At 42.2% G+C, this 14017-nt stretch overlaps 1 protein-coding gene across 8 annotated transcripts in view; it reads left to right on the top strand.

Moving 5' to 3' along the window:
* ARSB (arylsulfatase B) overlaps positions 1–14017 on the top strand; it is a 208750-nt gene that overhangs the window by 146725 nt on the left and 48008 nt on the right. The window contains exon 7 of one of the 8 annotated variants that reach the window (XM_011543392.4): positions 6543–6766. The exons of 6 other annotated variants lie outside the window; for them this stretch is intronic. In XM_011543392.4, the coding sequence (XP_011541694.1) occupies positions 6543–6547 (5 nt within the window). In that variant the 3' untranslated portion in view covers positions 6548–6766. Of the gene's footprint in view, positions 1–3326; positions 3454–6542; positions 6767–14017 lie in introns of those variants that run through there. One more of the 8 variants, XM_011543391.4, reaches the window with a different exon arrangement.

The raw sequence follows: 14017 nt of genomic DNA, 5'->3' as shown, positions 1-14017 counted from the left end.
CTTCGGGACATATCTCCCGCTCATCTCAGAGGGCAGTGTGCTGTGAAAGCAACACCAGCTTATGAAATAAGAAAGGTGAATTCTATTCTTGCTCTGCCGCTTACTAGCCTTTAAGCCATTGAACTCTCCCTGCCCCAGCCTTCCCCATTTACAAAAGAAGAACTCATGGCATCTCTGAGGCTCCTTCTCACTGTAGATGTCATGTTGCTGCCCTGTTCTTACCTGAGAGCTCCAGAGCCACCTTCCAGAAAACTCACAGTCAGATAAGCCACAGTTGGGTTCCAGGTAGTGTGAGCAACCACATTATCTGATTGGGCTGGTCAGGTACTGCCCAACACCTGCTGGGTGTCACAAGTGTGACTTTCCTAGCAGTCCTGGAAGTGATTCCGCTTGATTCTGCCTCCTGCCTAAATTAACCTGTAAAGAGCCTTACCATTTCCTTCAGGGCAGGCATGCATGTAGTGCTTCCAGATCACAACGGACTGTAATAGGCCTGTATAAATACCATGCGAGTGGCCCTAATGCCCTCAGCATAGTGAGTTTGGGCATAGAAAGCCTTAGCAATTAGACCCTTTGCCCAGCTTTCATCATAATGCTCATCTTGCAAACAGTGCCCTTATATTCCCTTATTCACATGGGGGCTCCCATCCGCTCCTTTCTGGACATACTGCTGCCCACTTAGTTCAGGCTCTCCTTACTTCTTTGTTTTTTCCAAACTGCATTATAGCTCACCACAAAATATTCTCATTCAGAGATTCCTGCTCAGAGAATTACCCCACAGTCATTCTAAATGTGTCACCAGGCACTCGGGCCCCACTTGCCCGGCCAGCCTCACTCCAGGCACTCCTTGTCATGTTCTCACTTCCTAGACACTTGTCATCTCCATGCAGATCATCGTACTGTCATGAATATGCTTTTCCCTATGCCTGAAACACATTTTCCCTACCTGTCTATAATCTCTCTCATCCCTTAAAAACCCAGCCCCATGTCTCCCTCTGTGAATGCTTTCCAGAGCCCCAGAAGGAGCAGTCACTCCTTCCTGTGTGCATGTGTCTCCGTATAGCATCCCTCACATGTTCGTGTTTGTGCCTGCATTTCCAAGCTGAGAGCTCCTGGAAGTCAGCATCTCCTGTATTTTTTTATCCTTGTCAGTTAACACAAATACTGGGAGCTTGCTAGGCACTCAGTAATGATTACTTGATGACTCAGTGGACAATTGGAGAGTTGAGATGCAATAAAGACCAAGTGGACACATTAAGACCTGGACAGGAAAGGGCCCTGAGACAGGCGAGAATGGCTACATCGTGGAGAAATTTCTATTTCTTTTGGAGTAAACGCATGTCAGTGAGAGAGGCAAGGGCAAGGTTTGAGCCCTAAGGACTGTAAGAACAGTCTAGATTTGTGCTGTCCAGTATAGTAGCCACAGGCCACATGTGGCTGTCAGGTACTTAAAATATGGCTAACTGTGGATTGAGATGTGCTGTGAGTAGAATATATACATCCGATTTTCAAGACTTAGTACACCTATGTATTATATGCATACAATATTATAGATTTATTATTTGTTGAAAGGATAATACTTTGGATATATTGAATTAAATATATTGTTAGTGTTTTACTTCTCTCCTCTTCCTTTCTTAATGTGGCTAATAGAAAATTTAATTTTAATTAACTTACATAAGTGACTTGCATTATATTTCTATTGGCCTAAAAACCCCTTCTAGAAGGTGCTAGGAAGTAAGTTGATCAGCTGAGCTGATCACAGAGCTGTGAATAGTTACTGTGAGGCTACATCAATGACTCCTAAACTTTTCTCTACCCCAGTACACCTAAGAGATACATTTCAGTCATATCAAAGTCTCTAAGGGTGGCTGGAAGAGAATAGTGGGGAGGCAGGAATGGCTTTAAAACTTTCTGAGTAATTTAATGCACTGCAAAGCCCAGTATAACCTAGGTCTAGGGGATATGTGGAATATGCCACCCACATTATAATGGTTGTAAATGTCTTCACCTGCTAAATTCCACCTACAAATGAAAAACCTTAAGACCCCTCACTCACTAAGCTGTATTTTGGTTTGGCATTTGAAGTAGGAGCTTGAGAACTATACTCCTATGTGATATGGTTGGGATTTGTGTCCCACCCAAGTGTCATGTCGAATTGTAATCCCCCATGCTGGAGGAGGGGCCCGGCGGGAGGTGACTGGATCATAGGCATGGATTCCCCCTTGCTGTTCTTGTGATAGTGAGTGAGTTCTCATGAGATCTGGTTGTTTGAAAGTGTGTGGCACCTCCCCCTTCGCTCTCTTCCTCCTGCTCCAGCCATGTAGGACATACCTGCCTCCTCTTCACCTTCTGTCATGATTGTAAGTTCCTGAGGCCTCCCCAGCCATGATTCCTGTACAGCCTGTGGAACCCTGAACCAATTAAACCTCTCTTATTTATACCTAGTCTCAGGTAGTTCTTTATAACAATGCAAGGACGGACGAATACACTATCACCACAGCACTGTGTGCTGCAGGGTTCTTGGTGCAACTTGCTGTGCTTTCTCCTGTCTTACCTAAAGGGCCCTAGCAAAATAACAGCACAGGCAAAAGGTTTCTCCAGAGTAAAAGTTGGTAAGAGCATGGAAATTAGAATAGAAAATTTTCCTAATCTTGCCATCCATAGACTGTAAGGACATTTACTTCTCTTGGACTCAGTTTCCTATGTATTATGTGGTAGAATTATAAGACCCAGTACTGCCGCCACAAATTTAGGCATCCTCTTTGGCCTTCTGCTGCTCTTCCTTCCCTCTCTGGAGCCCACCCAGGCCTTCATGTTGGCTTCCCCACCAGCTTGGGACTCCTGCTCTGACTCCTGCAGATAACGAAGGACATTGTCAGCTCTTGCAAGGATGTAGAACCACATTCACTGTTGCTTCACACACACACAGCGTTCTCTGCTGTCTGTGCCTGCAGGTAGCAAGGTGCCACCCACCTCCTCACACATGGCAATCCCATGGGCCTTTTCTGCCCAGTTTTTATATTCACTTCACTCTACTGAGAGGCAGAAGAAGAAACAAGAAGAGCTGTCTTTGGGTGCCTGCTCATTTTTAGGATGATGATACAAGCCCGTTTCCTTTTCTATGCAATTCATTTATGAGGAAAAATTAAATCCAGCTATAAAAAAACATGTACTTAGGGGACAGCCAAGTCTGGATATCATATTCATAGAGCACAGAGGCTTTTGTGGAGTTAAATCAGAAGTAGCCAATCTCGGGTGTAAACTGAGGGTTAACAATGGAGTCAGTGTTATCACAGAAGCATTTCTGTGGTTTCTCACTCCAGCTCTTCCCAGATCGTTGGTGCTTACTGCGGGAGAAGAAGGTAGCGTTCCACCTCCACCTTCCCTAAAGCCACTTCGTCAGTTTCCTCACCTGTGGAGTAAAGAAGGAATTAAATGATCTCCAAGGTCCCTCTGGCTTCAGTGTTCTGTGGGTCTCTATATGAATGGGACCTCAAAGGAGCAAAGCTGCTTACTCTGCTTCTCTCCTTTTTCTGCCTGCTAGAAGGAGTGTGTCCATTGATAAGCAGTGATGTTGCCAAAGGCATGATCATAAATAGATAAACACAAGTGCAAATGCTAGAAACATTATATGCACTAGAGGAATTTGAATTATTTTATGAGTTTCTTATTACTATATCCTGGCCACCTTTCTGATTTCCGTTCCGAAACATCACCGTATCGATCCGCTTTTCTATCTCCTCTTTCCCTTAGTGGGTCATCCTGGGGTTTGTTGACCAATGTCTCCTCTGATTGTGAATCATACGAATAGGCATTACGCACTTCCCAGGAGATTTCTGCCCTCTGCCTAGCACCACATGCTCCCAGAAGCTGGCCTCTTGGATTTCAGCAGCTACACCTCCCCCGCTCCCTGCCAACACACACCCCATTCCCCTAGTCAAATTATAGGGTGCCCAGAGGCCCATCCTGCTGGTGGAGTCAGGATTTTTTTCATGGTCACATGCACATGGTAGGTTGTGGCTTGGATACTAACAGTAAAAATACTCAAAGATCGGCACAAAATATTGATACACGTACACATTCATAGAGAAACATGCACACACACCAGGGGTCACCAAATCTCTCATAGATCAGGAGATTCACCATTCTGCAGTAAAGCATAAAGTCTCAAGGATGCATACGTAAATTATACCATTAGGATGACTACAATTTAAAAAATGAAAGAAAGAAAAGGAGAGAGAGTGGAAAAAGGAAGGAAGGGAGGGAGGGAGGGAGGGGAAAATAAGAATTGTTGAGGATGTAGAGAAATTGGAACCCTTATTCACTGTTAATGGGAAAGTAAAATAATGTAGCCTCTATGGACAATAACATTGTGTGATTACTCAAAATATTAAAAATAGAATTATCATAGGATCCAGCAATCCCACTTCTGAGTATATACCTAAAAGAATTAAAAGCAGGGGCTTGAACAGGTATTTGTACACTCATGTTTGTAGCAGCATTACTCAGCATTACTCAGAACAGCCAAAAGGTAGTAGCAACCCAAATGTCCATCAGTGAATGGATGAATAAACAAAATGTGGCATATATATATATATATATATATATATATATATATATATACACATATATATACCATGAAATAGTATCCAGCACTAACAGTGAAAGAAATTCTAATACATGCTACAACATGGATGAACCTTAAAGACATTATGCTAAGCAAGTCACAAAAGGAAAAACTATATGACTCCACTTACATGAGGTACCTAAAGTGGTCAGATTCATAGGGACAGAAAATAGAATGGTGGTTGCCTGAGGTTGTGGGGAGGGGAGAATGGGGCATGATTGTTGAGTGGGTGTAGAGATGGATGGTGATGATGACAGCATAACAACGTGAATGTATTTAATGCCACTGGACCATACAATTAAAAGTGGTTAGGATAGTAAATTTTATGTTGTTTGTATTTTACCACAATTTAAAAATATAAAAAATAAATAAAACGTAACTTTCCCTCCTTCCAAAACTGAAGAGAAACTGCATGAGAATAGGGTCTCTATCTTTTTCATTTACTGCCATATGCACAGTAAGGTCTCCGTAGCACAGAACCTAACATCGTAGTAAGTTGTTGGGTTAATATCAGTAAATATCTGCTAATGAATGATAAACAGATCAACCTGTCAAAGTCATTGTTTTATTGTCTTACAGCCTTTCCTGAGCCTAAAAGTACCTCCAGATGGCCACTTATACTCCTTTTAAACCCCAAACCTACCTTTTGTGCCTAAGTAAAAATAACTTAGAAGCTACAAGTCACTTATTAAGTTGTAATTGACATTATATACAGATGTTTGAAACTGTTCATTCAGCTTCTAAGTGCCCACCCTCATCGCTCCCTGCATTGAAAAGATCGGCCAGAAAAGATGATGTGGGATTTCCCTGCCCAACTTCATCCCTTTTCCCAGACCTCCTCAATAGACAAATAGAGATTTATAAAGCCTTTGCCTCTGGCCTGGCTCGGCCTGACTTCCCTCTGAGTCTGGGGCTCTGCCTCTTCTTGCTGTTCTGAGTTCGGTTCTGCTCCTGTTTTCTGGGATGTTCCCTCTGGTTGTTTCATCATTCACTGGTTATCTCAGTGCCCCAACCCTAGCTCTGCTTTTATCCCCTTCCTCCCTCCACTGCCTCCCAGCTTCATGACCTGTGTCAGAGTGTGGGATGTAATTGCTTTCCTGTGTGCTTTGAGGAGACTTTTTATTCATTTTTGAAGGCTTTGTTCTGAAGTAACCTTGGAAGTGCTTTGGTCTCTGTTCAGATAGTACCCTTCTCTTTTCCTTTGTTCCCTTCTGAGAAAACTCCTAAGAATTATTTATTCCTCCATGTCTTTAAAATACTTCTGTCTTCGTCCAGCAGCACAGGGTGGTCAGTGTAAGAAACCCGTGAGAGAGCCTGGGGAATAGCACCATTGAAGCTGATTAGTGGGAAAGCCTGGAAACCTCTAAAGTGGTGGGGAACAGCCATAATCCCAGGGTAGGCAAGAGGTCCTGCAGGTCTGAATTCAGCTCTACATGGTTCCAAGGAGAGCTCCAGCCCCAAATTCCACACTCCTGCAAGGCCCCAGCAAGCATGGCTCAGACCACAAGGAGAACTGCTTCAAAGGCATTATTTTGCCTGAGGAAAAACATATACACCTATCCTGCAGGTGCCGGGCTTGATCTTGGCTGTTCTGCAGTAATGATCCTGCCCCATCTGAGACCACGACTCACTTTGGAAGTCAGACGTGGCATTCTATGATGGCTGGAACACACATATCCGATCATGTAACATAGGTGTATATATTTAAAACGTACGCACACACAGGAGACACACACATTCTGCTGGTAGAAGCTTGATTATAGATGAAGGGCAGTGACAGATGTTAGCATTTTCCACCCCACCAAAGGCCAGCTCTTCAAAGTGATTCCATACAGCTTTGTTACTATTTCATTTAAAGGCCCTCTTCTCTTTAAAGTTTCTAATGAGATGTTATTTCTGCTCCTGATTATAGGGTGAAAGAACAGCCTTCTTCCCACCCTCTCCTCTCTCACACACACATTTTCTGTGGTGCAATTGCCAAATCCATGCTTGAGATCCAAGAGTCGTCCAGGTTGGAATGCTTGGAGCTGCTCCCTGTTTCCTCCTCAGAGCGACATTCAGAGCCATTTCCCAGTATTATGTTGCCATTTCCAAGATTGTTTATTCAGTAAATAAATAAACGATGATGGCCTGGGATGCATGAGGTACTGTTATAAATACTCGAGATCAGTTAAGCTAAAGCCAAACCTAAAGGTCTGGCTAAAACCCAGTCTGGAAGAGTCTGGAAGAGGGCATGGACACAGCCTCTCCCCACCCTGCTGGAAGGCTGTTGGTGGTTCCCAGCTGTCCACTAGCAAGCCCTCCTACAACGCCCACCATTCAGCACCATTGCAATGCCCTCCTTCAGTCCTGTTTATCTCCCTTGTTGCCCTGCGCCTTCTGTAGAGTTCAGTGCACATTCCTACTCCTCCGTGAAGCCCTCTCTGATTCTTTTGAACTTGAGTCCCTTGAGTTTCTCTGGAGCTTCCCAGGACGGTGAGCTCTTGCTGCCTCATAGTGCAGTATTTATATTCACGTGTTTTCCCCATCCGGAGCTATAAGGAGAGCAAGGCTTCATTGTATAGTTCTCTCGGTGTCTTATGTATAAGAGATTAATACATATTGAAAGAATGCACGCTAATAAATGAATAATTTATCATCAGCTGATTCGATTAGAATCAGTCTAATGAGAACAATAGTAATTTCATACATCATTTTCAAGGCATTTTTATTTCTTTTTGGGTCTATTAGAGAAGTAGTGACACAGAGGCATCTTTCTTTCAGCCTGAAATTAGATATTAAGCAGAATCAAGAGTTAGGGGGAATGCATGGGGCTCACCCTGCTACAGATTGCTCAGCATTGCATAGAATGCCAGAGGCTAAGGGCCCCTTGGCAGTTTGTTCACTCTTTATAATCCAAGTGAAGAAACTGAGGCACCAGGTCATGCATGCTGTTAAATATCAGAGCTGGAACTCAGGGCTGTTCAGACCCGGCATGTACATCATGTCCTACTGATTTCGCAGGTCTCATCGCTTTGTGTCCTACCCTTGTCTTGTGGGAGAAGGGCACCCAGATATGAGTTACGATCATCTCACCTATATAATAGCATGTTGATGGGACATGACTCATTTAAAGGAGGCTGGAAAAATGGGTCGAGTAGTCACATTAGCCTTGCTAGATTCACATGTAATCTGACTCTGCAGATGGTGGTAGCTTCTGCTTGTAGAGCTAGTCATGGAAGCCCTGTCAGTGCCTTGTATTCACTCCACTGGAGGGTGCTGGGGGGATGAGGGAGCTGTGTGTGGGGTGGGCAGTGTCACCTAGTAAAACAGGTAGAGTTTGGGGGTGCCAGAAAGCCCTGGGTTTTATTCAATACCAGCTCTGACTTATTTCCTGTGAGCTTGTGGGTAAGTTCTTCCAGCCATCTGTTTCATCACCTATACGTTGGGAACGATTATAACAATATCTCCTGTAAATATGTCCAAACAACAGTGAACAACAATTACATTCTGGCTGCTACGATTGGGGCAGGGTGGGAAAGTTGCACTTTTCACTTTATGTATTTCTCTAGTTTTAATTTTAAATTATGAGCACATGTGACTTCCTTAATCAGGAATAAAGCCATAAAGCTTTATTTGTGAAAACCACCTCCAAGGAGGGTTCCGGTAAGCATGGAATATCTGAAATCTGCTGGGTTCTTATAGAGTGGGAGTTGCTGCTTCCGTGCCTGCCTGTACTAGGTCAGAGCAGTTAGAATTTTGTGTCGTCTCTAGTTGCCAATATTTGTCTTTAGCAGCTCGTCAAATTTTCCTTGGTGTGGGTTGCTACATGCCCTCAATCACAGAGCCAAAACACAGATAGCTTTCTCCTTTTTAATTTTCAAAGGCTTCTAGTCTGCCCCCTCCGCTTTGGGGAGCACTAAAGTCTGTTTGGAAATGTGGCCTTTTTGATGCCAAAGGCAGTCCCACAAGCCTCGTATCCCCTCCACCCCACTTCACACAGCACATCTCAAGGAGCACGCATGAAACCTTCACTGTTAACACTTGGTGCTGGCATCCTGGCTTTCATCCCGAGAAAATACACAAACCAAACCAAATCCACAGCACTTTAAAAACACTAATTAACTCTCACCACTGGCCTAGGCTACGCAGAAATGGCAAATCCCGCTGCCCCAATTTTATGTTTGGAGAAATCAGGGTAAGCAACATTTTCTAGGGCTTCTCTGAGCCAGATCACAGAAGCTGACCTGAAGGACTTGGCCTGGCCCTGCATCTGGAGTTAGGCCATTTGATGAAGGGCCAGCTGCCTCACCAGATCCCTTCTCTACAGCACCACGTGGTTAGTGGCCCATAACTCCATTTGTACATCAGCGTTTGTTTTTTTTTCCCCAGGGTTACTTTGATGCCAAACTGTCTCATGTCCAACTGACCATTTATTTATTTGCTTACTTTTCTTTAATTCTGGTACAGCCTAGAAATTTTAGCCATAGCTTCCAAGTGTAGCCTGTTAATTATAGTTGATTAAAGGTTCTATGCTGATTTTGAATTTCAACACAAAAGCAGACTAACTTCCAAACAGTCCCTCTCAGGTCCAGTGGCTCCGCCCCTTCCGTCTTCCACCCTGGAGCCTCCCCAGGTCTGGTAAAGATTTGGTGGTGTCCAGACTCCTTTTTTCCTCTCCCAGTCTGGACCAGTCATTCTCCTACCTCAGTTCCCCAGTCTTACCATCTGTAAAGATAAATATATCCATCTTTCTTGAAAGAGTCTACCATAAAATTCTGTAAAAACATAAAACCTCATAAAATTTTAGGGAACATATCCAATGAAATTAAAATTTACAAAGTAAATCTATTTTGTAAATATTTATTGATCTTGTCAGAATTTTTAGGGGTTTTAGGGTGCTTGTGTATAAGGCTGAAATAAAACTTTTGAAAACATTTCTGGGACGTTGTTGAAAACAGACTAAACGGCCTGTTTAGTAACCCATAATGTAAGATGTTAGTAATCAGGCATTTATAGACTGAAGTCTGTTACCTCTGGCAGAAAATACCTAGGGAATGAGTATATGGCCCCTGCTTCTAAAGATTCTTTTGAATCAGAGGAAAACATATGCCCAGGAAAGGATATTAACACAGTTATAAAATAAAGTAGAACAAATGATAAGTGATATAATATAAGCAGTAAGGACAAATGAAGAAGTGACAGCATTTGGGAGTGATTAGGAAAGGTGTTCTCAAAAAGGATATCTTTAAATTTGTCCATTACTTCAACAACTTTAGTTTTATCTTTCTTGATTTTAATGTGAATGAAGGAAAAGAATATTTAACACTATTAGTTTTCTATCACTGATCAAACAAATTACCATAAACTCAATGGCTTAAAACAACCAATACTTAACCATCACTCTATTTTCGTATTTTTTGAATGTTTTCAGTTCTGTAGGTCAGAAGTCTGACATGGGTCTCACTGGACTAAATCCAGGGTACCGATTGGCAGGGCTGCAGTCCCTTCCAAAGGCTGAGGGGACATCCCATTTCCTTGCCTTTTCCTGCTTCTAGAGGCTGCCTACATTCCTTGGCCCATGGCCTCCTTCCTCCATCTTCAAAGCCAGCAATGGAAGGTTGGGTCCTTTTCTAGCACATTCTTTGAACCTGGCTTCCATCATCTCATCTTGTCTGACCTGTTCTGCCTCCTTCTTCAACTTTTCTGGACTCTTGTGATAACATTGGGCCCACCTGGATAAATAATCTAGAATCACCTCCCTATTTGAAAGTCAGCTGATTAGCAATCTTAATTCCATCTGCAGCCTGAATGCCCCTTTGCCGTGTAACCTAACATATTCACAGGTCCTGGGGATTGGGACGTGGATATCTTTAGGGGGCCATTATTCTGCTACCACAAATACCTGCTGTGTTGCCCTAGACTTCATGAAAAATACAACAAGTCGCTTATAACCTAGTTGGAGAGAACAAGAACATACAAAAAGTTAAAAGAAAATCAGATAACAGTTGAAAGCTATGGTGGTAGAGACGTTACAAGTTGTACTTAATTGTCAGATCATTTCCATGGAGTCTGATAGTTGCTATGAGAGTGAAGGAGGGCTAAAACACTCAGGCCCTCTTTCACCTCCACTGAACCTCAAAGAGTTCCTAGGTGGAAAAGACCATCAAAGGAAATAGAAAAGGCTGTGAGCAAAAGGTGTGTGAGCCTATTTGGGGGACAAAGGGGAGGCATGAAAGAAGAGATGGGAAAGCTAAACAAGGACAATATGTCACACTAAGGAGATGGGATTTCATCCTGTATGCAGCAGGGAAGCTCCTTTTGTACAAATAATAGATGGGGGGGTGGTGCAAGAAATTTTTAAAAATACAGAAAAGCTCAAAATTTTTAAAAATACACACAAAAAAAATCACCCTAAACCTATTATTCTGCTACCCAGAAATAAGCATTGTTAATATTTTGGTGGGCTTTTTCTATTTCTATTTAGGGAGAGCTTTCAACATTTCACCGTTCAGTATGATATCGATTGCAGATTTTTTTTATACTCTTTATCAGTGTAAGAAAACTCCCTCCTATTCTTAGTTTGTAGAATTTTTAAAACAGCTATTGCTGTTGTCCACAGGAAAGTCCCTTTGTGTCTGCACTATTTTAATCCCAAAATAAAGAAAAATCTGCTAATTCCACAGGTGGTTATATAGATGCTGGGGTTTCAGCACTTCCTGTTTGACCGGAAACTCTCAGTGAAGTAAAAAAAAAAAAAAATCAGAAATTGTGGAAGTTTATTTGTAGAGACTCTTGTTTTGCCGTTAGGACTGTGGGTCCCAGAATTCTTTGGAATGACAGCCCTAGTCAAAGTCTAGCCATTTCTCTCCCAATTATCCAAACAAAGGCTGGTTTAGGCACTGCCTGAAAGGACTTGATAGATGTAATCCAAGTCCCATATCCTTAAGTGCCTCAACCAAGAGGAAGTCCTGGGTGGGCCTGATTCAGTCATATGAGTAAAATATAAATTTTCCTTTGTAGGCTGGTTTTTACTAAAAATGATATTGCTGGATTATCCTTGGAATCCATCTCAGCAAAGTGTTAGAATAATCTCAAGTATAAAGGCAGGAGGGGCTGGGCACAGTGGCTCATGCTTGTAATCCCAGCACTTTGGGATGCCAAGGTGGGTGGATTGCATGAGGCCAGGAGCTCAAGACCAGCCTGGCCAACATGGCAAAACCCCGTCTTTACTAAAAAATACAAAAAAGTAGCCGGGCATGGTGGCACACACCTGTAGTCCCAGTTACTAGGGAGGCTAAGGTGGGAGGATTGCTTGAACCGGGGAGGCAGAGGTTGCAGTGAGCTGAGAGTGCACCACTGCACTCCAGCCTGGGCGACAGAGCAAGACTCTATTTCAAAAAAAAGGCAGGAGAAGTAGTTTATATAAGATATTTATAACTAGTTTAGTGGTCTAATAGCCTATGGATGAGAAGTGACTGGTACAGTGGGCCATCCTAGAAAGAGAAAATCATGTCTAGGTGGGCTCTATTTGATGGAGCCGTTGATCTGGGGCCAGGTTTACAGTCTCTTGTCACTATCTGGACTCTGTTCTAGGTATGCAGCTGGCTGTGCCCCTATTAGGATGAACCCCCTGTAGGTGCCCTTTCCTTCTGATATGCCAGGGATGCTCTGGGACTTCCTGTCATAGGTGATTCCTAATGCTCCTGACCCATGGCAGCCAAATAGGTTCCCCCTTGGAGGCTTCCATTCTGCCCTGTTACCTGCCCTTATTTTCAAATTTGGAATGTTTGTAGAAGTCTGTTAGTATCTCTCTCACTTATTTTGGGGGTATCATACTGTTTTCACAGCAAAAGAGCTTGCAGTCAGCTTTAGCTTCTTCCTTTAATACATGAGGGGTAACACCTGTGCTATTTGTTTTCTTTCCTAAATGCCTTCACAGAAGCAGTTTTGAACCAGAGAATATACACAATTAAGTAAAAGGAGTTGAGAGAAATCACATGGAGAGCAATAAAGAAAAGAAACTAACCATTGTTGACAGTGCACTGTGTTCTAGGCACTGTGTAGCTACCCCCTGCCCCCAGTACCTGCCTTTCTTTAGAGCACATATTATTTTTTAAATATTTATTTATCATCCTCCTGTCTCCATTAAAATACAAGTTCCACGAGGGCAGACAATTTAGTCTTTTGTGTTCTTTTCTATACCCAAACATCTAGAACAGTAGCACAATAAGTAGTTGTTGAATAAATGTCTTTTCTTAAAGAAAAAATGAAAAAAGGGGCCAGGCATGGTGGCTCATGCCTGTAATCCCAGCACTTTGGGAGGCTGAGGCGAGCAGATCACAAGGTCAGGGGTTTAAGACCAGCCTGACCAAAATGGTGAAACCCCATCTCTACTGAAAATACAAAAAGTAGTCAGGCATGGTGGTGCACGCCTGTAGTCCCAGCTGCTTGGGAGGCTAAGGCAGAAGAATCCCTTGAACTCAGGAGGCAGAGGTTGCAGTGAGCCAAGATCGTGCCACTGCACTCCAGCCTGGGCAACAGAGCGAGACTCCATCAAAAAAAAAAAAAGAAAGAAAAAGGAAAGACATGGGGTTAACTTTTTTAACCTTTAAAAAAGATCTATGGAAAAGATTGGATAGATGTCAGAGGTACTTGATTGTAATAGCTAATGCTTGTTTGTAAAGTGAGACGTAAGAAAGCTTAGATTTGGCTTAATTGATGGCAAGTTTAAGAGACTGAGGTTTACTTGAGACTGACATTAGTATAAATTTAAAATGACTTAAAGAGGAAGTCATGGGTATTTGAACTATTTATATTCATTTCAGATCCTTTCTTTTACATCATTTTGTAAAAACTCCTTCGAAAAAAATAGTTCAGTGCTTATAGCTGACTTTTAGCTTCTTTCTCAAAAAAGAAAAAAATAATAAAAGAGGAATGAGAAAGTCAGCTTAAGTACTACCTTCCCTTATCTTTTGACTGAGATATAAGAATTATTTGTGACATAAATACATTTTATTTAAAGAAAGTTGAAGATTGGATCTGGGTTATTTTTTGGACAAGTTAGAATATAGTACTTGATTTCTAATTGTTAACAACTAATGTTTTAAAAAACAAATGTTAGAGACTGAAAAGGAATCTAAACCTTTCCCTTTTTCTAATTGTAATCATATTTTCAAATGTATATGGGATTTTTTTCTTAGTCTTTCCACAAATTATAAACAGCAGCATTTACCCTGCATTGAGCTGAAATGAATAAACATTTTTTAAATGAAAATAATGACAGTGAAAACCAATTTAGAAAAGAAAGGAAAAAGATGCCCATAAATCACAGACACTTGGAAGAGCATGTAAGAAAAGCTAAGAACTACATTTTTCATATTTTACATTTTCTCTTTAAAATCGCTT

The sequence above is a fragment of the Homo sapiens genome, chromosome 5 (assembly GCF_000001405.40).
Source record: "Homo sapiens chromosome 5, GRCh38.p14 Primary Assembly".
NCBI classification, from domain to species: domain Eukaryota; kingdom Metazoa; phylum Chordata; class Mammalia; order Primates; family Hominidae; genus Homo; species Homo sapiens.
This window is presented reverse-complemented; position numbering and strand designations above follow the sequence as displayed.